Source organism: Homo sapiens, chromosome 6, assembly GCF_000001405.40.
Source record: "Homo sapiens chromosome 6, GRCh38.p14 Primary Assembly".
Taxonomy (NCBI): Eukaryota; Metazoa; Chordata; class Mammalia; order Primates; family Hominidae; genus Homo; species Homo sapiens.
The window spans coordinates 17,932,590-17,957,100 of NC_000006.12; the positions used below are offsets into that span (position 1 = coordinate 17,932,590).

Below are 24,511 nucleotides of genomic sequence, written 5' to 3' on the forward strand. Positions count from 1 at the left end.
GCAAACAGTTCTCTGACCCACCAATCTGACACACCGGAACTGTCACCTCAACACCCTTGTATTTGCCTTCTCCCCACCCCACCACAGCACAGCACTACTGTACAGATTCCAGAAACGCTATGCAAGCTCCTACAGCTTGTATGCAGGCCAGAGGCCTTGACTCAGATAGCAGAGAGAGGGTTGAAGCGAGGAGGAAGTCTGTGAGAATGGAAAGAAAAAAAAAAAAAACTGGGGTAAGTGGCACCAACATCCCATGGAGATTTTGCTTAATTTGGCCAAATTATTTTTCCAGTTCTGGAATACATCCCTTTCCAAATCTCTGCCAACCCCAAGGAAATCACAATACGGTAAAGCAGAGGAAAAAGTCAAGCTTTTCATTTGCTCAAGGTCACCCAAAAAGCTTAATTAGAAAAAAAAATTAATTCACAGTAAGATAAGAATATCTAAAGTGTATCATTGTTTCTTTAAAAGAAGAGAAAGGCTCTGTGACCTCGGCCATATCCTTGAACCTTCCTGGGCCCAGTTTCTCTTCTATTAATAATGAAAAGAATGGCTGGAGAACATGAATTTAAGAGTTGTCAAGTGATGGGAACAAAGGAAACCCAAGAAAGTGCAGGTATAACATGATTTTACAGCACCTATAAAAGATGTACTGGTTGGCAATCTCTCCTCTTAACCAAGAAAGAGTGCATACCAACTGCATCTTTCTTTGTTAGAAACCTCCTGAGCTCCCTGTAGCCTCAACCTCCTGAGCTCAAGTGATACTCCTGCCTCAGCCTCCCAAGTAGCTGGCACGCACCACCACACCCAGCTCATTTTTTTTTTTTTTTTTTTTGTAGAGACAAGGTCTCACTATGTTGCCCAGGCTGGTCTCAAACTCCTGGACTCAAGTGATCCTTCTGCCTTGGCCTCCCAAAGTGCTGGGATTATAGGTGTGGGCCACAATGTTTTGGCCTTCCAGTATTCTTTGAATAAAGAAAATAATTAACTAAATGGGACATAAGAAGGAGTAGAAATCAGAATGATCAAACCAACAATTTAGATTTTTTTTTAAGTTTATTGATTTCCTGACACGGGAAAAATATTATGTACAGTTCCAAAAGCAACTACTTTAACAAGTTCTGATTCTAAGTATGAGTGAAATATAAACTTCCAATGCAGAAGCAATAGTGTGTTTCTGTGGTTCACTTTTACCTTCAACACAAAGCATTAGAAATGCCTTTCTTCTAATGGGAAATTTCAACTAGTTCGACCTGCCTGCCTAGCTCCCCACCAAAGCCTGGCACAGTGGCTTAATAATCACATTTATCTCAGCCAGCTCCTGGAGCGCCTTTCAAACATATCCCTTAGTCCTGCTTTTATCTTATTACAATGCAATGTAACTATGGAAACATAGGATTTCAAGTTATATTTTCTCTCACAGATAAAGAAAGCTGCCTTTTATAACTCAATTCAATCTAAATTGTGTCGTTAGGGTCAACTTTTATTTTTTTTTGAAGAATGCGAAAAAGTAAACATTTAAGTTGAAAAGAATAAAAAGACAAGCATTTTCATAAAAACCAGGACACAGTTTCTTCGTAATTACAAAAGGCACCTCTTTCCATCTCTCACACTACTGTCTAATGGCCACAGGACATTGGCCTTCTTCAAATTCTTAAGTGACCTGTGTGAGGTCAGAGCAGAGGGCCCGGCTTGTAGCGTGCACTTGCAGGTAGGCAAGAAAAGAAACCTACACCAGTTGCTTAAGTGCAGACGAGAGCGGCTGAACACCATCCCATTCCTAATTAGGAACTTTCAACTCTCCCTATGCTACATGCTCCCAAAGCTAAAAAGCCAAATGAAATATTCCAGCAGGTAGTATTCTAAAATCATAAATACAGAATCCCCAATAATATCATAATAAAAAGACGCCGAAGGCCAGGCACCGTGGGTCATGCCTGTAATCCCAAAACTCTGGGAGACAGAGGCAGAGAGGATCACTTGAGCCCAGAAATTCGAGACCAGCCTGGGCAACATAGGGAAACCCTGTCTCTACAAAAATATTAAAAATTAGCAGGGCATGGTGGCACATCCCTGTGGTCTCACCTACTTGGGAGGCCGAGGTGGGAGGATCGCTTGAGCCCAGGAGGTAGAGGCTGTGGTGAGCCATGACTGCACCACTGACTCCAGCCTGGGCAACCAAGCAATACCCTGTCTCCAAAAAAAAAAAAAAGACACTTAAAAATAATACTCTTGTGCTGTTTGTCATAAATATGGCCACCATCTAATGTAAAATGTGACTCAATTTTCACTAGTAATAACCAAACATATCAGTTTCACAAGGGTCCCTTTACCTTGCAGTGAGGCAGATCCTGTATTGATTTATTACTGCAATACCTGAAGCAAGTTCCTTTACACCTGTGCTCCAGGCTTCCCACCACGCTAAGGGCAACAGCAACTTCACTTGTTGGCCCAAAATAAATATTTAATAACAAAAGCTTATTTTTGGCTAGTTGTGTTATTTTCACCATTTACCTGGGGAGGGGGAGGAATACTAAAAGGCCAAAATGGTTCTCTCTCTCATGAGTGGGATTGGAAATATTTTTTTCTTATCTGTGCTTTCTATAGCTGTCCTGAATAAATGTCACAATCAGACTTGGAAGAAACACTGTCCTTGGCAAAGAATAATTCCTACTAAGGATAGGCAGTTTAAGGCTCAAGCCCTGAGCTATTTCTGCTGAGCCCCCATGGGATCAGAGAGGAAAATTCAGCACCACAGAGACCTGGCTCAGCTCAGCAGGCAGCTGGGTCCTCACTATGGTCCCTACCTGGCCCCCACCTGTTGGAGTGGCTCAGTTCAGAGAAAAACGACACATCCTGCGCTCTCTTGTCTGTGCCAAGTGATCAGAAGCTCAGTTCTGGGGCTGGGGCTGTGCAAACTATTTTTCTACAAGCAACCAAGTGACTCTAACATGTAGCCAGTGTTGAAAACCACTGCCCCAACAGATCCACGAACCTCTAAGCACCAATTTCCCATAAAAAGGAGGGGGAATTTAAATTCTCTCATAAAATGTAGCTCTCTCTCCGTAACTGAAAAGGAGGAACTACCCTTGACAGTCTCATAAAACTGTACCCTTGTGAACAAAAATGTTTATCCACTTCAATTTTTACAAGTATATAACAAAAAGCTAGTTACTTTCAAAACTCAAAAGTTGATGTACACTACATTGATTAGTACAAATGAAGCTCTTAAAAAGATAAAATTATTCATTTCCAACCAGATTCTTGAGTTAAGATAAAATCTGATGGTTTGATTGGCTTTGAAGAGATCTTAAAGCCATATTTCCTCTCTTTAAACTATAGCTCCTTTCATCTTATGCTGACTGTGCACAGAGGTTTTTTTTCTTAACGAAAAGACAGACATTTCTGCTAATGAGAAAAAAGCCCACACTGACCAACTCAAACACATATGAATGATTAAAAGTAACTTCATATTACTTATGTCAAAGTCCAGGTTAATTTGACATTATCAGAACAATTCATCCAGGGAGAGGGCTGAGCCTCTCTTCATTGCCCCTAACTTTATTTTTATTTTTTGAGACGGTGTCTTACTCTTCCACCCAAACTGGGAGTGCAATGGTGGGATCTTGGCTCACTGCAACCTCCGCCTCCCGGATTCAAGTGATCCCACCTCAGCCTCCCGAGTAGCTGGGATTGCACATATGTGCCACCACACCTGGCTAATTTTTTTTGTATTTTTAGTAGAGATGGGGTTTCACCATGGTGGCCAGGCTGGTGATCTGCCCACCTTGGCCTCCCAAAGTGCTGGGATTACAGGGATGAGCCATTGCACCTGGCCCATTGCCACTAATTTTAATAAGATCTCTCTTTCTGTCTCTCTCACTCCCCCTCTATCTCTCTCACACACACACATGTGCAAGTGCCCCACTGTATGTTTCACAGTCCCAAGCAAATGTTTAAGAAGAAAATGGAGGCAGAGAGAGTTTGCAGGTATTATGTGCCAGGCTGGTGCCAAGCATTTTACACATATTGTTTCATTTAATCACAGTAATCCTATAATGTGGCTATTATTGCCCTAGGTCATAGATGAGGTTCAGACAAGTTAACAAACATCATAAAAGTCAGTAATGCAACTAACTGTATTCACAAGTAATATTAACGAATAATACAAACATTCAAAAAAATGTAATGAATGATGAAATTTCTATAAAGCAGATTTATGTGTTACATTTAAGTGTGTTTGCATTCCTTTGAAAAAAAAATGAGTAGCAACAACCAGAATGTTTGTTAGGGCAAAGGAAAAGGAGATTGGGCATGGTGGCTCACACCTATAATCCCAGCACTTTGGGAGGCCAAGGTGGGCAGATCCCTTGAGCCCAGAAGGTCCAGACTAGCCTGGGCAAGTTGGCAAAATCCTGTCTCCACAAAAAATACAAAAATTTGCTTGGTGTGGTGGTGTGTGCCTGTAGTCTCAGCTACTTGCAGACTGATGTGGAAGGATCACCTGAGCCTGGGGAAGTTGAGGCTGCAGTGAGCTCAACCGCAGTCACTGCACTCTAGCCTGGGCGACATAGTGAGACCCTGTCTATACATATATACACATACATACATAAATGGAAAGGAAGTCTGGAGTCGGGAGTAACCAACCAACCCTTTCAAGTGGAGAACAGCAACCAACAGACCATTGGAAGTCTCTGGTAACTCCAATATTTGTTATTGCTAGTTGGTCCTAAATTCAAGAGAAAGCACACCCTCAATATAGATTAAACTCCTGAGGTTGCATTGATCTCGGCAGTGATCTCCAATTGTTTTAGTCCTTCGACCTTACATATGTTTATTTTTGTAACTGTCTGAGTAAAACTTGCAATAACTTCCTCCACAGTCCTGAAGACACAGTAAATCTAATTGTGTCGTCTGGAAAAAGTTACAGAAGTCTCTTCATGTAGTAATGGGAAGCAAAGGTACTTTTAAAATACAGCATTGAAGTGATTTATTTGAGGTCTTTGCTAAGTGAAATTATAGTTTTATAGATGGGAATCTGCATCTCAAGCATCACTATTCATCCAACTATTATTGTCCAATATAAGAATGTACAAGAACCTAGACTGGGACCACAGGTGCAAGCCACCATGCCCAGCTAATTTCTTTCCTTTTTTGTTTTTTTTTTTTTGTTTTTTTGAGACGGAGTCTCGCTCTGTCGACCAGGCTGGAGTACAGTGGCACAATTTCGGCCACCGCAACCTCCACCTCCCAGGCTCAAGCAATTCTCCTGCCTCAGCCTCTCAAGTAGCTGGGGCCACAGGCGTGCAACACCACGCCCGGTTGAGTTTTGTATTTTTAGTAGAGATGAAGTTTCACCATTTGGCCAGGTTAGTCTCAAACTCCTGACCTCAGGTAATCCACCTGCCTCGGCCTCTCAAAGTGCTGGGATTACAGGCATAAGCCACCGTGCCCCGCCCTAATTACATAATTTTAAAATTTTTTTTGTAGAGATGGGGACTCACTATGTTGCCAAGGCTGGTCTTGAACTCCTGGCCTCAAGTGATCTTCTCACCTAGGCCTCCCAAAGTGCTGGGATTACAGGCATGAGCCACCACGCCAGGCCTTTAGACTGCTATTAAATGTGGCAATTGCTACATTTAATGCATGATTTATTACAACCCAATTAGAAAGCATAGTGTCTGACACATAAGTGCTCAACAAAGACAACAAAGACCTACCAAATGAAGGAAGGAAAAAAGAATGGTAATGAAACAAGCACACACAAAACACGACCAATGTAATAAGAAAGGTATGAAACATTCCTGGAGGTTGGAGGGTGGAGACATTGCTCCTGGCAGAAGAAATCATGAAGGGCTTCATGAAGATAGAACGGTCCTGAAAGACGGGGACACCATCTACCCTCTCCAGTTGCCCAGTCTAATTTCTCACCTAACGAAGAATTGGGCTTATTATATTGCGGCAGCCTGGAAACATATGCTTATGACTTGATCTAAAACAAACTTCTTATAAAGAATAAAGAAGCATGAACTTTTAAATATCCTTCCAGAAATTTGACAACTAAATCTCACTGAAATGTCAGAATCTAGTATTTCGTTTTCTGAACTATAATGGATTCAACATGGTACTTACAAATCTCTTTCCTCCATTTTCTTCCTGTACATGGAGGATTTCCTTAAATCATCAACTTGGAACTGAAAGTCTTTAAAATTTCACTGCCTTAGAGTGAATTTTTTTTTTTTTTTTTTTACCCAGCAACGAAAAAGTTGTGTTGTTATATAAGGAATGCACTAATTTTTATGTATTCATTCTACAAAACCAGTTCAATTTAGCCAACCAATCTCATGAAATTTTCTAGCCTTGCATGTCAAAAACCCCATGATGGTAAAGAGATGAGTCACTGAACTCTGATACATATGCAATAGTTATGTAAGCAAATTGGCACAAATTCCTTCAAGACCTCCATTATTTTCTCCAATTGAGTAAAAGTATAAACAGAAACAAATTTAAATCTCAGAAAAACTCTAAGGCACTTTAGGGCGCTTTCCGCCCTTTCCTCTTTCCTCCCCCTTTCCTTGTGCATCTGCTACATATTAACAACACTAAAACAACAGAAGACCTCTATAAACAACAATGCCTGCAAGGAATACATAAGACATTCTGGTGCATATTTCAGTAACAGATGTTTCAGTGCTACATCTGAAATCCAATATTCAGTACAGCAGTGATGATATACTTCATTGTAACACAACAGATAATTATAAGTTATACTGTTTTTATTGATAATAGCTCCTCAAGGCCATTCGAGTTTATTTTTCTTCAACAGTCTTGCTGTCACTGAACATAGTCTTCTTTGCTTTAGAGTCTGAGAATCTGACCATTCTGTCGGAGGCATTAGAACCAGAGTGATTCCTTCTTGAATGTAGCAAGGGCTGGGTAAAATAAGGCTGAGACCTACTGGTCTGTATTCCCAGGAGGTTAGGCATTCTAAGTCACAGGATGAGGTAGGCGGTCTGCACAAGGTACAGATCACACATACCTTGTTGATAAAACAGCATGAGGTAAAGAAGCGGCTAAAACCTACCAAAACCAAGATGGCAAGGAAAGTGACCCCTGGTCATCTTCACTGCTCATTATATGCTAATTATAATTCATTAGCAGGTTAAAAGATAGTCTCACCTGGCCGGGCGTAGTGGCTCACGCTTCTAATCCCAGCACTTTGGGAGGCGGAGGCGGGTGGATGACTAGGTCAGGAGATTGAGACCACGGTGAAACCCCGTCTCTACTAAAAATACAAAAAATTAGCTGGGCGTGGTGGCGGGCGCCTATAGTGCCAGCTACTCGGGAGGCTGAGGCAGGAGAATGGCGTGAACCTGGGAGGCGGAGCTTGCAGTGAGCCGAGATCGCGCCACTACACACTCCAGCCTGGGAGACAGAGCGAGACTCCGTCTCATAAATTAAAAAAAAAAAAAAAAAAGATAGTCTCACCCACCATGACAATTTACAAATGCCATGGCAACATCGGGAATTTACTCTATATGGAAGTTCCTTCCTTCCTTCCTTCCTTCTTTCCTTTCCTCCTCCTCCTCCTCCTTTTTCCTCCTCTTCCTCTTCTTCTTTTGGAACACTGTTTTGAAGGTACATCAGCACAATGCTTCTTAAACTTCAATATGTATACGGATGCTTCAGGAACACTATTAAGCGCAGATTCTTCGATTCTGTAAATCCGTGGTGGGTCCTGAGCTTCTGCATTTCTAATGAGCTCCCAGGGTGTGCTAATGCTGCTGATCCACAAGGGATTCGAGCATGCAAATTAAGTTATGGAGAAAGCATTACTGTTTAATTTTACATATGGTAGGAAAACGCTGTTAGTGAACCTACAGATGAAACCTAATTAGGGGTCAAAAATCAACCACAGATAGAGCATATTTTATCTTTCCAGTCATTGTTTCCTTCTTTCAAGAGGCAGCAGCAGAGTTAAGAGAGAATTCCCTGTTCCCCTTACCAGACCAGTGAAGAGTTTTCAGGAAGAGACCTCACAGGAGAGCTATATATAAAAGACAGCAGAAGGCAGGGCTTGAACTAATGGCTGCATAATTAGCTTGATATAAAAGAAGATTATTTGCATTTCAAGTGTTACACATTTTCCCCCATAACAAGAATTCCTGTAGTTAGAATTTTTTATGACAAACTTTTTAATTAGTTAGGACTTAACACATGTAAATTTATTTTTTTTTTTTTTTTTTTTTTTTTTGAGACAGAATTTGGCTCTGTTGCCCAGGCTGGAGTGCAATGGCGCAATCTCGGCTCACCACAACCTCTGCCTCCTGGGTTCAAGTGATTCTCTTGCCTCAGCCTCCCAAGTAGCTGGGATTACAGGCATGCACCATCATGCCTGGCTAATTTTGTATTTTTAGTAGAGACAGGGTTTCTCCATGTTGATCAGGCTGGTCTCGAACTCCTGACCTCAGGTGATCCGCCTGCCTGGGCCTCCCAAAGTGCTGGGATTACAGGCGTGAGCCATTGCACCTGGCCCAACATATGTAATTCTAAATCATCAAAGAAGCTTTAACTGGTATTTGAAGGGTAGAATCCATTCTGCTACCCAAATATATTACCCTCCTAAAACCCACTAAGAAGCTGCTGTCACCTGGATTTAAAATAGCCTGGTGCTATGAACTCTGCCCTAATTATATCAAAGAGTAAAGTCAAGGTTTTTCAAATCTCAAATCAAAATCAAAGATCTCAACCTTTGGGAGAAGCTCTAAATATCTAAAAGCATCTTAGCTATTGTTATGAATGGAATCATGTCCCCACACCCTAAATTTCCATATTGAAGCCTTAACCCTCAGTACCTCAGAATGCGACATCTGGAGATAGGAGCTTGAAAAAGGTTAAAGTTAAAATGATGTCATTACAATGGGACCTAATGCATTATGACTGGTGTCTTTATAAGCAAGGAAATCCGGACAGAGACACACAGAGAAGGAAGACAATGAGAAGACGCAGGGAGAAGACAGTCATCTACAAGCCAAGGAGAGAAGTCTCAGAGGAAACCAAACCTGCCCACACCTTGATCTCGGACTTCCAGCCTCCAGGGTAGTGAGAAAATATTCAACCTTCAACATGGGTACCCATGTTGAAGGCACCCAGTCTGTGGTACTATGCTATGGTAACCCTAGCAATACCAATACATTTGCTTTTTTTTTTTTTGGTTCCCAATTCACAGTAGATGTTCTAAAGAAAGTTCTGAACTTTCCTTCAGAAAAGGATGGGTTGTATATACTATTAATTATTAACGTTATTATTAGAGATACTTTGGGACATAGGAAAGTTTACGGTGAGTGTTAGAAGGCCTCACCACAGCTGTCAAATTAACTTGTTCTCTGAATACCCAATGCAAAATATTCTATATCAACATATATATTTCTGCTGGGTGTGGTGGCTCACACCTCTAATCCAAGCATTTTGGGAGGCTGAGGTGGAAACTGCTTCAGCGCCAAGAGTTCAAGACCAGCCTGGACAACATGGCAAAACCTCATCTCTATAAAAAAACACAAAAATTAGCCAGGCGTGGTGGCATACACCTATAGTCCCAGCTACTCGGGAGGCTGAGGTAGGAGGATTACTTGAGCCCAGGAAGTCCAGATTGCAGTGAACCATGATCATGCCACTGCACTCCAACCTGGGTGACACAGTGAGACCTGTCTTGAAGAAACAAAACACAACAAGAACAACAACAACAAATATATATATATATATATATATATTTCTGTTCATTGAAATTTAGACTTTGCCACACCAGAACAATCTGAAGCCTGCCTAGGTTTAAATTCTGGTGTTGTCATTGAATTAGCTGTATAATTTCCAAATTTCACTCCCTCCCATCTGCAAAATGGGTACCTACCTCATAAAGTTGCAGCAAGTATTAAATGAGATACATTTCATAACAGAAATACATTTCATAACAGACACTGGCTGACAGCTCTTCCAGCATATCTGGGTGCCTATCAGCCTTGGCTATTATATTTATCAAATATAGTCAAAGTCCTCCTCTCTTATAAACAGGCTTGGCTAGCTGGACAATGAGTTTAAAGAGTAGATTAGGCCGGGCGCAGTGGCTCACGCCTGTAATCTCAGCACTTTACGAGGCCAAGGCAGGTAGATACCCTGAGGTCAGGAGTTCGAGACCAGCCTGGCCAACATGGTGAAACCCCATCTCTACTAAAAATACAAAAATTAGCTGGGCGTGGTGTCAACACGCCTGTAATCCCAGCTACTCGGGAGGCTGAGGAAGGAGAACTGCTTGAGCCTGGGAGATGGAGGTTGCAGTGAGCCAAGATTGTGCCACTACACTCCAGGCTGGCCGACAGAGTGAGACTCTGTCTCAAAAAACAAAAACAAAAACAAAAACAAAAAACAAAAAAAAGAGTAGATTAAAGCAGAGAATCATAAAAATGGGTACTTATACCTTTAAACGTTTTTACATTAACTTAAAGTATTTAAAAGTTCGTTCATTCTGCAATCTTTAGACTGACACAAAGTACATTTCCTTGAGAATGGTCTGCTGAATGGAGTTCTGGTTGTTTTTCTATGTAAACTACACCATGATGCATTATGAATTTTCAATGTCTGTTTCTTTAAGGAGAATAAAGAACTGGTCACTGAAAAACAATCTGAGTATAGAAACCTCTTCTATTTTTATAATCCCTCTCTCTCCTGTGTTTAATTCGATGGCAGTATTTTTTAGAAAGTGATTCTCCAATGTTAGTAAGCTTCAGAATCACCTGGAAAGTTTGGTAAAACACAGATTTTTTTTTTTTTTTTTTTGTATTTTTAGTAGAGACAGGGTTTCACCATGTTGGCCAGCCTGGTCTCGAACTCCTGACCTCAGGTGATCCACCTGCCTCGGCCTCCCAAAGTGCTGGGATTACAGGTGTGAACCACCGCACCCAGCCAAGTTTCTGATATAACAGGTCTAGAGTGGAGGCTGAGAATGTGCATTTTTAACAGGTTTCAAGAGGACTCTGATGCTGCTGATCTGGGAAGCACATTTTGAGAATTCACTTTCACTGATTCTGTCTTCCACAGAAAGCACATTTTTTCTGTTCATATAATATCAATTTACATAATAACTAAACTCTATAAAGCCAAATACTACTGGTTTTGGTAATTTACAACTCAACGGGGAGGCGTGGAAGTGCGTGGCATGCAACTGGGATGTCCATGGTCAACGAACCCACCCAGCATGAGCATCAGTTGACTTATGTCATAGAAGGAGTTGAGAACACCAGTTAATGCAGTGAACTGGTTAAATGGAGATCAGTTCAGAAAGCCTCAACCACATTAAGTTGATGCTTATAACTTTTCTGCATCTACCCAACACAAAGCAGAAAAGAATCATGAGCTAGAAGTATATGGTTTTCTAATAATTACACACTTGCTGAAGATTTTTCTCTTTATGTGGCATCTCCAACTCTACGTTATTATCTATACAGGGTAATCAATTTGGCTTTAATTTGTAGGTATAAAAATTCCCCATGGAGATCTGACATGTGAGCCTTACCGCCTTTACCGCTGACATCCTCTGAGAAATCACAAAGTAATTTGTGATTCAATGCTTTATGTAACTTGAACTTTCTTTCAAAACTTCACCCTGTTTTCTGAGGAGTTCCAGTTAATTGATCCATACACACTCAAGTTCTTATAGATGAAAACTCAGGACAGTGGAACACATTTCTGAGTGCCCTCCTGAGTTCAGTATGCCCCAAATCCATTTACACTCCATTAAATAACAAGCATATATGCTAGAACACAAGTTACCATTCCCTGACCCTGGGTTATCTAGCTGCACTAATAAACCAAGAAAAGATTAACCAATTGTGACAGCTTATCAAGACCTCCAGAAAAAGATTCAACTCCAATTGCACACACATGAACAGGAGGCCAAAGACAAAGTAGCTGGCCCCTCTTGTCCCACTCCTCCCCAAATTAACTCCCCCTGTCTAAACCACACAGGCACTGAGAGGCAGCAGAAGCCCAGGGCATAAAACAAAACAGAAACAAAAAACACGTAGAAATTCCAGCTCAATTTCACTTCCAAAATCTAAAGAAAATATTTCTATTTATTTATAAAATATATAACCCATTATCTTTGCGTCTGATTATTCTATGCTTGCTTCTCTTCTTGATCAAAAGAAATGAAAGATATAAACACCAATGGGGAAAAAAAACTATCATTAGCAAACAAAATTACTATCTATAAAGAAAAGCCAAGACAAAAAAAGATATCAGAATTAATGAGAATTTAACAAAGTTACTGCCTGTAAGTATATACTAAAGTCGACAGCATTTCTAAGCTACAAGAAAACAGAGAATGCAACTTAAAATGACCACTTCTAGGTTGGGCACAGTGGTTCACATCTGTAATTCCAGCACTTTGGGAGGCCAAGGTGGAAGGATCATCTGAGCTCAGCAGTTTGAGACCAGTCTGGGCAACACGGCAAGATCCTGTCTCTATTTAAAAAATTAAAAGTATTTTAAAAATGTTAAAAGTGACTACTTTTGGTATATTTATGCAATTGAATACCATACAGCAATAAGAATGAACAATCTGGAACTACAACTAGATGATCACAAAAATAACACTGAACGAAAGAAGCTAGATACAGAAGAGCACATACTGTATGATTCCATTTATGTAAGGTGCCAAAATAGGCTAAACTGACTCATGATTTTAAAAGTCAGGACAGTGGCAGCCCTTGGGGATGTTAGTAACAGGAAAGAAACAAGAGGATTGTTTCTAGGGAGCTGCTAATGTTATTTTTTGATCTAGGTCCGGAGTTTAACTTGAAAATTCAGCATACATACAGAAAAAAATGCATGCATCATATTATACTTCAATTAAAAAAATTAAAATACCACTTGTGATAGAAAAAAAAATTTTAAGTACCCAGATACAAATCTAACAAAAAAGATGCAAAAACCTTAAAGATGTTTTTATGTAAAATTTTTATTGCTAAAGAAGAACTAAATAAACAGATATACCATGTTTTCAAATTAGAAAATCCAACACTGTAAAGATGCCAATTCTTTTCACATTGAACTATGTGTCCAGTGCAATCCCAAAATAGTTTTTAATGGCATCTATAAGAATGACCAAGCCACCCCTATAGCAGAACACAATGAAGAAACTGGTCCTACAGTTATCAGTACTGCAGTGTGGCACTGCCTCAGAGACAGACAAACAGAACACCGAAACAGAAGAGACGGCCCTGAAAATGATCCTCAGTTATCTGGAAACCTAGTCTGATAGAACCAGTATCAAAGATCAGGCTGGACTATTCAATAAATAGTGCCAGGATAATAGGTTATCTTGATGGGGCGAAATTAATCTCTACTTCATACTGTTTAAAAAAATAAATTTCAAGGATTTAAATGTGAATTGTAAAGCTTAAGACTTTTAGAAGGTATAAGAGAGTATTTGTATGCGCTTAGAGAAGAACTTTTAAAAACATGACACATACAGCATTAACCCTTTAAAAAAAATAGGGATGAAGTCTTGCTTTGTTGCCAAGGCTGATCTTGAACCCCTGGGCTCAAAGCGATCCTCCCACCTCAGCCTTCCAAAGTGCTGGGATTACAGGTATGAGCCACCACATTTAGCTGATAAAGCATCCATCTTAAAAGTAAAGGGTAAACTTCGCTATTTTAAAAATCAGAACTTCTAATAATCAGAAAATAAATAAAACCAAGCAAAAACAGAATCCACAAACTGGAAAAAGATTTTGCATATAACAAAAGATTAATATACACAATATATAAGTAACACCAAGGAATCAATTTTAAAAGGCCAAAAAAAAAACAAAAAAGAGAAAATGAGTAAAAAGAGAGCAGGTGCTTTTCAAAAGAAAACAAATGAATGGCCGATAAAATATATGAAAAGATGTTCCGTTGCACTTTTATGCAGGAAATGCAAATTAAAACCACAATAAAATATCATTTCACATGCTCTGCATCAGTAAAAATTTTAAACTCTGATAATATTAAGTACTGTCATTATCTTATACTACTAGTGATATTAACTACTTAGGAAATCAATTTTACATGCACATAGTAAAGTTTAACATGCACATATGCTATGATCCAGCAATCCAAATGTTCATAGCAGCACTGTTCATAAAAGCCCCAAACTGGAAACTACCCAAATGTCCATCAACAATGAAAGGATGAACTGTAGTATATTCATACAATGGAATACCATGCAACAGCAAAAGTGAATTCAGCTACGTGCATCAACACGGACAAATGAATCTCAAGAACAAAGTTGACTGTGCAGGCGGTTGCACAACTGTATATACATTTATCAAAGCTCATCGAAACTGTACACTTAAAATGGGTGAATTTTTATTATATGTAAATTATACCTCAATAAAGCTATTTTAAAAACAGATGAGCAAATAAAGTGTGACGAAAAGTTCAAAAAGTAGCATTCCATTTACAAAAATATTAAAACCAGGCAAATATAATATTAAAGTTGTTAAATTATAAAGAAAACTAAGGAAAATAAATATAAAATTCAGGATAGTCATTTCCTTTCACAGGTACAATGGGAAGGAGTGGAAATGGGAATAAGTGATATAAGAGACAAAAAAGTACAAGTTGGGTGGTGATACAAGGTACTTACATTTTTTTCTTAACTGTTGAAACCAAATATATAAGTTATATACTTCTTTATTATACATGCAATGAATTTTTTAAATAAAGCAAATTTAAATACTTCTATTTTTAAAAGATCAACATAAGGAGAATAAACTTATTTTAGCAAAATTTGATAATACCTAATAATTAAGGCTAGCTACTTTTCCTTTCAGCTTCCTTCTTAACTTCAAAAGTTCAAAACTTCGTTGCCTGTTAAATTTCCTGAATTTGGTAATAGTCTTAGAAAATACACCAAGAGCTGGGCGTGGTAGCTCACGCCTGTAATCCCAGCACTTTGGGAGGCCGAGGTGGGTGGATCACCTGAGGTCAGGAGTTTGAGACCAGCCGACCAGCCTGGGCAACACGGTGAAACCCTATCTCTACTAAAAATACAAAAAAAAATTAGCCAGGCATGGTGGCGGGTGCCTGTAATCCCAGCTACTCAAGAGGCTGAGGCAGGAGAATCACTTGAACCTAAGAAGTGGAGGTTGCAGTGAGCCGAGATTGCGCCATTGCGCTCCAGCCTGTGTGACAAGAGCAAAACTCTGCTCAAAAAAAAAAAGAAAGCACACCAAGTATTAAGGGCTAAAGGGCTGTATGATGTATTTCACCTACTCTCAAAGAGTTCAAAAAATAAATTATATTTTTTCCACAAATATTTGATAAGGCAAATGCAGCAAAGCTTTAAAATGTGTAAGTCTGCTATTCTTGCAACTTATTTTTTCAAAATTAAAATTGTGTTGTCCAAGGAGAGACTAGAAACTCAGCACAGGAAACATCATTTAATACTGAGAATATACTTTTAATGCCTCTATCCTACTTTTTTCTATTCTATTTTGTTTTTATTTTAATAAATCACATAACCGAGTTACTTGCTCTCCCTTGACTGGTCTCAGACTAAAAGATGCTGAAATAGCCAGACTGAAGGATCAGAACAGACTTGACTTGAAGAGATTCATTACCAAAGTGTCCTAGGCTAAAGTTAATTGTCACTGAGTAGTCGAGTGGTTTTACATGGCACCAAAAGTGGTGGCACTTTGGGAGAAGACTCTGTAGATGAACAAATTTCTGTTTTAAAAGAGCACAGTTTTCTTTGGAAAATAAAATACAGAGTCAAATTACTCCCAACTTCAGAAAAAATGACAGAAGTTAACTCACTCTCTTAACACTGTAGCTTTTCTAAAGCAAAATAAGTTATGCTACATGAACAGGGAAGAGAAACATTTTGGCTCCCAAATTTGACACAGTACCACATAACATCCATTTACTTTTTTTTTTTTTTTTTTTTTTTTGAGACAAGTCTCACTCTGTCGTCCAGGCTGGACTGCAGCAGCGTGATCTCGGCTCACTGGGACCTCTGCCTCCAGGTTCAAGCGATTCTCTGCATCAGCCTCCCGAGTAACTGGAATTACAGGCACCCACCACCATGCCCGGCTAATTTTTGTATTTTTTGTAGAGATGGGGTTTCACCATGTTGGCTGGGCTGGGCTGGTCTCAAACTCCTGACCTCAAATGATCCACCCGTTTCGGCCCCTCAAAGTGCTAAGATTACAAGCATGAGCCACCTCGCCTGGCCCAAACATCTTTTTTCCTTTTTTATACTGATAGTATAAACAGGTTATGCAATAGCGAGTGAGCATAAGCCCTTTGAAAGCAAAATCTACACTCTAATAAATACTTTTCGACTAACAATAAACAGTCTTTTGCCTTTCTTACATTATATTCAATATGAATACACATGTCAAATGTACAATATACAACATGATCTAAAGAAAAATAAGATCAGATGAGAGGGGAATGTACACCATCTCAAAGGAGATGCTAAAACTCGCCGACCACTATACATCATAGCTCATTACAAATTTGCATTAGTCTCCTCTGGGTCAAAAAGGCACTTTTCATAGAAAAATTTATCGTGCCCTGGTTTGTCAAAATAAATCTTTTAGGAAAAAGTCGCCAGAGTGTACCATAGCTCAATGATAAGTTAATTACTAGTGGGACAAAGCATGTGACCAATGGCTTTGGAGAAGGCTCTGTTTAATATTTATTACAGTAACCACAAAAGCCCTCCTGCTATGAATTAAAGACACCATCAACATTTTAATTCTGGCTACTGAGTGATTAGAGAAATAGTAAGTAGCTGCTGATATATTTCAGCACTTTAATATAAACAACTGTGACTGTCTGGAGACCTTAACTGCATACAGGGTCTCTAAATGTATTTAGTTGTTAGTGCAGGTCTCTTAAGGGGTAAAGAGGAGACAGGAAAGGAAAAGAAAAACATACTTCTAAACAACATCACAAAATACACCTGTCACCAGTTCTTAATTTTCTAGAGTTTCAGAAGCCTTTGAAATTTTGATCAAAGACATGAAGTCTCACTCTTAGAAATTGTATATGCATACACACACTTTTACTTTTAATGTCAGGGGGTTCACTGCCTTCAGTTTAAATGTCCTGCACTACACAGTCATTATACTGCATATACAGTAATAAAAAAACAAGTGCCAACTCGAGTTTTTAAGCCTAAAGAATGACAAACTAAGAGGTCTTCTAAACAGAGTTAAGAGATAACAAATGCACTATTGGTGGTTTTAAAAGTAATAATTATAATGATTTTCACATTCATAAAACACACTGATTAACTAACATATTTCCTACAAAATGCAGTCACAAACTTACTTTAGCTAGCTCCCTTATTCCTAAACAAAGACTTGTACTGGGACAATTATTAATTACAACCAATTTACTGGGCACTCACAATGCAAGGGTCTGTTGAAAACAAAAACTACTGACCCAAATAGTTTTCCTAGGATATATAGTCTGTGGCATACTGCTCTAATTGTTTAACTTAATCCATGTTATTTTGTAAATCCTTGTTCAAATGTAAATTACATCTGGCAGAGTCTCAGAGTGTGAGTATCTGATTTTTCCTGTTGATCTCCATAAATACAAAATTACAAATCTCTGCTTCCTCATATATAAGTAAAAGAAGAGCTGAGAACAAGCTGATTCAGTTCAAACAAACCAGAAGGGATTTAAACAAATCTAAGCACAAACCTTATATATTTGGTTAGAGGAAAAGAAGATTAAAAATATAATGACTCACAGACATGTGCTTTCAGAAAATGATTTATTAATGGATTACCAAATAAAACTCTGTAATTATGAATTTCACTGGTCAAATTTACCTTCTTACACTCTTTAGGACCAACAGATAGAAGAACATGTACACAAACACACATTCCTTTCTTATACCCCATTTGTTGGATGAATGCCCCACAGGATTTTAACAAAAGCATTATTTATCCAACAGCTGAGCATCTTAACAAAATTAAAAAGCAATAACTATCTCTCAATCTGAGGAATTCAACTTTATGTGTCTAAGAGTCCTCAAATACACTTTTAATCATGCCTAAAAAACGAAATATATGACAAAAAATACTCAAAAGATACTTAGAAATAACCCTTATCCACCCAACTAGAAAAATCTCTAATTACTAAAGGACTTTTAAATCTTTCTTAATTTTGCATTTCTTAAAATAATTTCTCAAAAAATACAACACTATTGAACATAAATGATTAAATGTGTGGGATAATTAGAAACAACCGTATCCACCCACCCAGAGAAATCTCTAATTACTAAAGGACTTTTAAAACTTTCTTAATTTTAAATTTCTTAAAATAATTTCTCAAATGAATATAACACTATTGAACATAAATGACTAAATATATGGGCTATCACAAACCCACTTTAGTAGTACACCTAAGGACACCTAAGGAATTGTACTTATTATATATAACACTTTGCCAACCATCCATTTATTCATATGTGGGGTCTGATGCAATTCACCTCACGCCACTTTAATTTTTTATTTTTTTGAAGACAGGGTCTGGCTCTGTCACCCAGGCTGGCGTGCAGTGGCTCAAACAGCTCACTGGAGCCTCCTGCCTCAGTCTCCTGAGTAGCTGGGACCACAGGTATGCGCCACCACGTCCAGCTAATTTTAAACAAATTTTTTGTAGAGATGGGGTTTTGCCATGTTGCAAAGGCTGGTCTTGAAATCCTCGGCTCAAGTGATCCTCTTGCCTTGGCCTCCCAAAGTGCTGGAATTAGAGATGTGAGCCACTGTGACCAGCCTCAATTTAAAAAAAAAAAAAAAACAGCTTTAAGATATAATTTATATACCATACAATTTACCCACTAAAAGTGTCCAATTCAGTGATTTTTAGCATATTCACAGAGTTATGTGGCTATCACCACAACTGCAGAACATTCTCAATACCCCCCTCAAAAAATGCCATATCCATCGGCAGTCACTCTCCATTTCCCCCAATTCCCCCAAGCCTAGGCAACCATTAATCTACTTTCTGTCTCCACGAATATGTCTGCTCTGGACATTTCACATCAATGGAATCATACAATACATGGTTCCTTATGACTGCTTATTTCACTTAATGTTATGTTTACAAAAAGTTCATCAATGTTATATATGGCATGTCACCACTTTAATCCATTTTATAAATTCCACTGTATGAATATATCACATATTCTTCATCAGTTGATGGACATTTGGTGACTCATTACAAAAATCTTTTTTCTTAAAAGAATTTTTTGTAGCCTTCCAAAAAATACCTTTATTTACAATTTTTGTAGAAGCAATTTGGCAATTTATATTTACAATTTAAATGCTCATAGTCTTTTCCTAATTTATATTAAGAAACTATAGTTTGCCGGGCGTGGTGGCTCACGCCTGTAATCTCAGCACTTTGGGAGGCCGAGGTGGGCAGATCATGAGGTCAGGAGATGGAGACCATGCTGGTTAACATGGTGAAACCCCGTCTCTACTAAAAATACAAAAAAATTAGCCAGGTATGGTGGCAGGCTTCTGTAGTCCCAGCTACTCGGGAGGCTGAGGCAGGAAGATGGCATGAACCCGGAAGGCAGAGCTTGCCATGAGCCGAGATAGCGCCACTGCACTCCAGCCTGGGTGACAGAGCGAGACTCCGTCTCAAAAAAAAAAAAAAAAAGAAAATATAATTTATATTAAGAAAATAATTGGCCAGGTGTGGTGGCTCATGCCTGTAAACCCAACACTGCGGGTGGCTGGGGTTGGGGGATCGCTTGAGGCCAGGAGTTTGAGACCAGGCTGGGCAACATGGCAAGATTCTGCCTCTACAAAAAATTTAAAAATTAGCAAGGCTTAGTAGTGTGCTCGCATCTGTGGTCTTAGCTACTCAGGAGGCTGAGGTCGGAGGATCCCTTGAGCCCAGGAGTTTGAGGCTACAGTGAGCTATGACCACACCACTCACTGCACTCCAGTCTGGGTGACAGGGAGAGACTCTGTAAGAAAAGAAAAGCCGGGCGTGGTGGCTCATGCCTGTAATCCCAGCACTTTGGGAGGCTGAGGCAGGCAGATCACGAGGTCAGGAGATTGAGACCATCCTGGCTAACACGGTGAAACACTGTCTCTACTAAAAATACAAAAAATTAGCCAGGTGTGGTGGTGGGCGCCTGTAGCCCCAGCTACTCAGGAGGCTGAGGCAGGAGAGTGGCGCGAACCCGGGAGGCAGAGCTTGCAGTGAGCCGAGATAGCGCCACTGCACTCCAGCCTGGGCGACAGAGCAAGACTGTCTCCAAAAAAAAAAAAAGAGAAGCGAAGCGAAGAGGGGAAGAGAGGAAGAGGAGAAGAAGAGAGGACCGGAGGGGAGAGATGGTTAACAGGGGTATAACAGGAATATATTAATGATGCTTTCTGGAGCACTGTTTACAGTGAAAAATTGGAAACACTCTAAATGTCCATCATTAGGGGATTAAGCAAAGAAATTATCATTCATCCATATAATATAATATAGCAATTAAAAAGAACGAGGTAGACACCCATCTATTAACATGGAAAGGAAGGCATTATTCTGTTAAGTTAAAAAAGCAGGTTAGAGAACAGTTCATATAGATGATATTATTTATGCAAAACATATGCATACATACATATACACGGGTACCTGAACACACACCCATATTCTCTCTTTCTCAAAGAATACACTCCAAACTTTTAGGAATGATTACTCTTAGACAGTAAAAGGGAAGAAAGGAGATTTTTTATTATTTCTCCTCTCTTAACCAGGAAGAAAAGCAGGGGAAAAAAAAAATCTTTAAAGCCCCAGATGTCATGTAATGGAAATTACAGAAATTCCTTGGGTTCTTTCTCTGCCTCCACCAAGTTCAGAGGCAGAGGCTTGGGTGCGCTGAAGATTCCCTATCACCAGTAAACCACCGGCATGGCCGAAGAAGGCACTGCTGCTGCTGGTGTCATGGATGTTAATACTGCTTTACATGAGGATGGCCTAGCACGTGGAATTCACAAAGCTGGCAACTTTAGACAAGCACCGAGCCCATCTTTGTGTGTTTGCACCCAACTACGATGAGCCTGTGTATATCAAGTTGGTGCAGGCCCTTTGCGCTGAATACCAAATCAACCTAATTAAGGCTGATGACGACAGGAGACTAGGGGAATAGGTAGGCTTCTGTAAAACTGACAAAGGAAAAACTCTGTAAAGTGGCTGGTTGCAATTGTGCAGTTGTGCTGTAGGACTATGGCAAAGAATCTCAGGTCAAGGATGTCACTGAAGAGTACTTCAAATGCAAGAAATGAACAAATAAAAAATTTTGCTCACATTCCTCAAAAAAAATTTTTTTTTCTTCGAAACAGATTTAAAACAATCCGATCGGTTGGGTGCGGTGGCTCACACCTGTAATCCCAGCACTTTGGGAGGCCGAGGCAGGCAGATCACGAGGTCAGGAGATGGAGACCATCCTGGCTATCACGGTGAAACCCTGTCCCTGCTAAAAATACCAAAAAAATTAGCCAGGTGTGGTGGCGGGCACCTGTAGTCCCAGCTACTCCGAAGGCTGAGGCAGGAGAATGGCGTGAACCTGGGAGGCGGGCTTGCTTGCAATGAGCCAAGGTGGCACCACTGCACTCCAGCCTGGGCAACAGAGCGAGACTCCATCTCAAAAAAAAAAAAAAAAAAAATCAGATCAGCATTTTTCTAACATCTAATAAACTCATATAGCTCAAGGACCACATCTTCCCCCTTTTAGGGAGTAGGTGATTGAAGGTTTTCACAAATCCCCTCATCCCTTAGACTAGCTGCTCAATAAATAACAGCTGACTAAATAAGCTACCAGTGTTACATTTTAAGTATAATACACAGCATAATTTAAAATATAATATTAGGCTTCTCTGGAAAAATTTTTCTTAGTTTTCATATTAATAACCTGATTTTACATTCTTTTCAATATTATATCTTCCTTTATAAGACATTTTCACAACCCAAAACTAAATTGTCTATTACATGCATTTTTACAAGGATTTTTTGTTATTGTTTATATTGTTGTTAGAGACAGGATCTCACTCTTCTTGACCAGGCTGGAGTGCAGTGTTGCGACCATAGCTCACTGTAGCCTCAAACTCATAGGCTCAAGGGATCCTCCCTCCTTAGCCTCCTGAGTAGCTGGGACCACAGGCACACAGCATCACACCTGGCTAATTAAGAAAAAAAATTTTTTTAAGAGACGGGGTCTTGCTATGTTGTCCAAGCTGGTCTCAAACTCCTGGCCTCAAGTAACCCTTCCACCTTGGCCTCCTAAAGCACTGGCATTACAGGTGTGTGCCACCACACCAGGCTCATTTAAAAAAACTTTTTTTGTAGAGATGGAATATCTCTCTACAAAAAATGCTGGTGCCCAGGTTGGTCTTGAATTCATGGGCTCAAGCGATCCTCCTGCCGCCACCTCCCAAAGTGCTGAGATTACAGATGTGAGCCACGGCACCTGGCCTACAAGTATTACTATACATGTCTTTACATTCAGAATCACTGAATATGAGAATTGATCTGGTCTAATCTCCTTGATGTACAAACGGACACTAGTTTCCACAGGTGTTAAAGTTACTCCAGATCCTTCTATTAGTAGCGAAGCCAGGACTAGAACCAAGAACCTGGGTTTCTACCTGTTTTGATTTAAATATAACAATAACAATAACAAACTCTATTCTACCAATTCAACACCCACTCTGCCTTCTTTCATTTGTGAAGTGCTCCCTTGAGTAACTGATAGGGCAAAGCTTCATGTAGACTTTTGCCACTTCACACCAATTTGGATATCTGACCAAACAAATTACCTATACAATAAGTAAAATCTTCCCTATAATTTCCACAAATATATTTGAAGAAGTGATTTTCTTGTGCCCATAAGACAATGTGCATTCACTATATTGGATGTAATACAAAAAGTAGCCATTTCTGGGTTTAAATTTGTCTTATTTAAGAACAGCAGTGCAACTAATCTTAATGATTTGGTTGTTTGGATGAGATAATATTGAAGACAAAGTCATGGTTTACTAAAGCAAAGAAACTGTATGCTAAGTCTATAAGATGGCAATTTCCTATTTTCTGTGACTCCTTTCAGAGTCTCAGGATAAGGCTGCACCAATTCAGTGTAGTTTGTTTCCATGCATTAACCTCTACAGGTAATTCATGCCAATTTGTGTTCACACATCTACATTTTTGCCTAAATACATGCAAATTTATGCATCCCATCAACCACTGTCTTTTATATTTAAAGATGATGACACTAATAGTGACTGTTATTCTTGTATACAGGTTTTCCTGAAAAGACTGCCATATTTTCCAGATCTTAAGCACAATTTTTAAAAAGTCTATTAACATTGCTTTAAATCTACAGTCAAGCATTTTGAGTGTGAACAGCAAGCAAAGCAACGGACTTAGGTTCACAGTGCCAGGCTCCGTTCTAAGGACTCATCAAGTGGTAGCTCATTTAACCTTACATCCGTAAGATGCAGGTATTATCATCCTCATTTACAAATGAGGAAGTTGAGGCATGGAGAGGACAGGTAACTCATCCAGGATCACACAGTAATAAGTGAAAAGGCTAGGATTTACTTTCAATCTGGCTCCAGAGTCTGTGCCTTTAACTACTGCTCTGTTATTAGACTCAACAATAGGTCCATTACAAAGAAGGTCCAGAAAAATCCAGCATGTGCACACTTTTTCAAAGACCATCAACCATGCAGCCAAGTGCCACCTGTTTGTGGTCCTCCCTGATTAGCAGTCTTGTCCATCATCTACTTTGTGCCTAGCACTGCAAAAGCAACCAAGATGGAAACAAACCCAATATGCAAGAGATTTACTATCTAGGTAGGGAGGCAAGTTATGCCTAAGCAGCAAAGGTGGTGTTAGGCTGTGATATTATGGTGATAGACATATATTGGTTTTTGTCCATGGTTCCTGGCTCATAACTCCCATACCCCTTGTTACAGTCCTTTGCTATAATGTTGGGGTGCTTTAGGTCTCAGGAGGAGGCCTCAGGGAATAGATTCTCTCTCGCCGACCTTCTCCTGTCCTCTAATCTGGCTGTGGGTCAAAAAAAAATCCTCATTCCAGAGAGGGTCCTGCTCTATACTCTGGAGGAAGAAATGCTGCATAGAGAGGCCAAGAAGGAACTAACACAGACAGGCCTTGCTGAGTTTCCCCACTCAGTCTACTAGTATGAGATCACAACCTTTCTGTTCAATCACATTTTTTTTTTTAGACGGAGTCTCACTCTGTAGCCTAGGCTGGAGTGCAGTGGTACAATCTTGGCTCACTGCAACCTTGCTTCCCAGGTTCAAGTGATTCTCCTGCCTCAGCCTCCCAAGTAGCTGGGATTGCAGGTACCCACCACCATGCCTGGCTAATTTCCTGTGTTTTTAGTAGAGACAGGGTTTCACCATGTTGGCCAGGCTGGTCT

The 24,511-nt window shown here is 39.6% G+C and overlaps 1 protein-coding gene and 1 pseudogene across 5 annotated transcripts in view, besides 2 other annotated features; one reads left to right on the top strand and one right to left on the bottom strand.

Moving 5' to 3' along the window:
* KIF13A (kinesin family member 13A) overlaps positions 1-24,511 on the bottom strand; it is a 228,510-nt gene that overhangs the window by 173,464 nt on the left and 30,535 nt on the right. The window contains exon 3 of one of the 5 annotated variants that reach the window (NM_001243423.2): positions 17,817-18,840. The exons of the other annotated variants lie outside the window; for them this stretch is intronic. Within the exon in view, the coding sequence (NP_001230352.1) occupies positions 18,774-18,840 (67 nt within the window). The 3' untranslated portion in view covers positions 17,817-18,773. Of the gene's footprint in view, positions 1-17,816; positions 18,841-24,511 lie in introns of those variants that run through there. 5 annotated transcript variants of the gene reach the window in all.
* Positions 1,582-1,766: a silencer, noted in NCBI's record as "fragment chr6:17934402-17934586 (GRCh37/hg19 assembly coordinates)". NCBI's record gives its function as "represses an EF-1alpha promoter that drives an FKBP-Casp9 reporter gene in an ReSE screen in K562 erythroleukemia cells {active_cell/tissue: K562}" and the evidence as "EXISTENCE:reporter gene assay evidence [ECO:0000049][PMID:32094911]".
* Positions 7,349-7,848: an enhancer, noted in NCBI's record as "H3K4me1 hESC enhancer chr6:17940169-17940668 (GRCh37/hg19 assembly coordinates)". NCBI's record gives its function as "activates a minimal SCP1, AML or CMV promoter by ChIP-STARR-seq in primed H9 embryonic stem cells {active_cell/tissue: H9 hESC(primed)}" and the evidence as "EXISTENCE:reporter gene assay evidence [ECO:0000049][PMID:30033119]".
* On the top strand, positions 20,980-21,353 carry RPS12P12 (ribosomal protein S12 pseudogene 12; annotated as a pseudogene).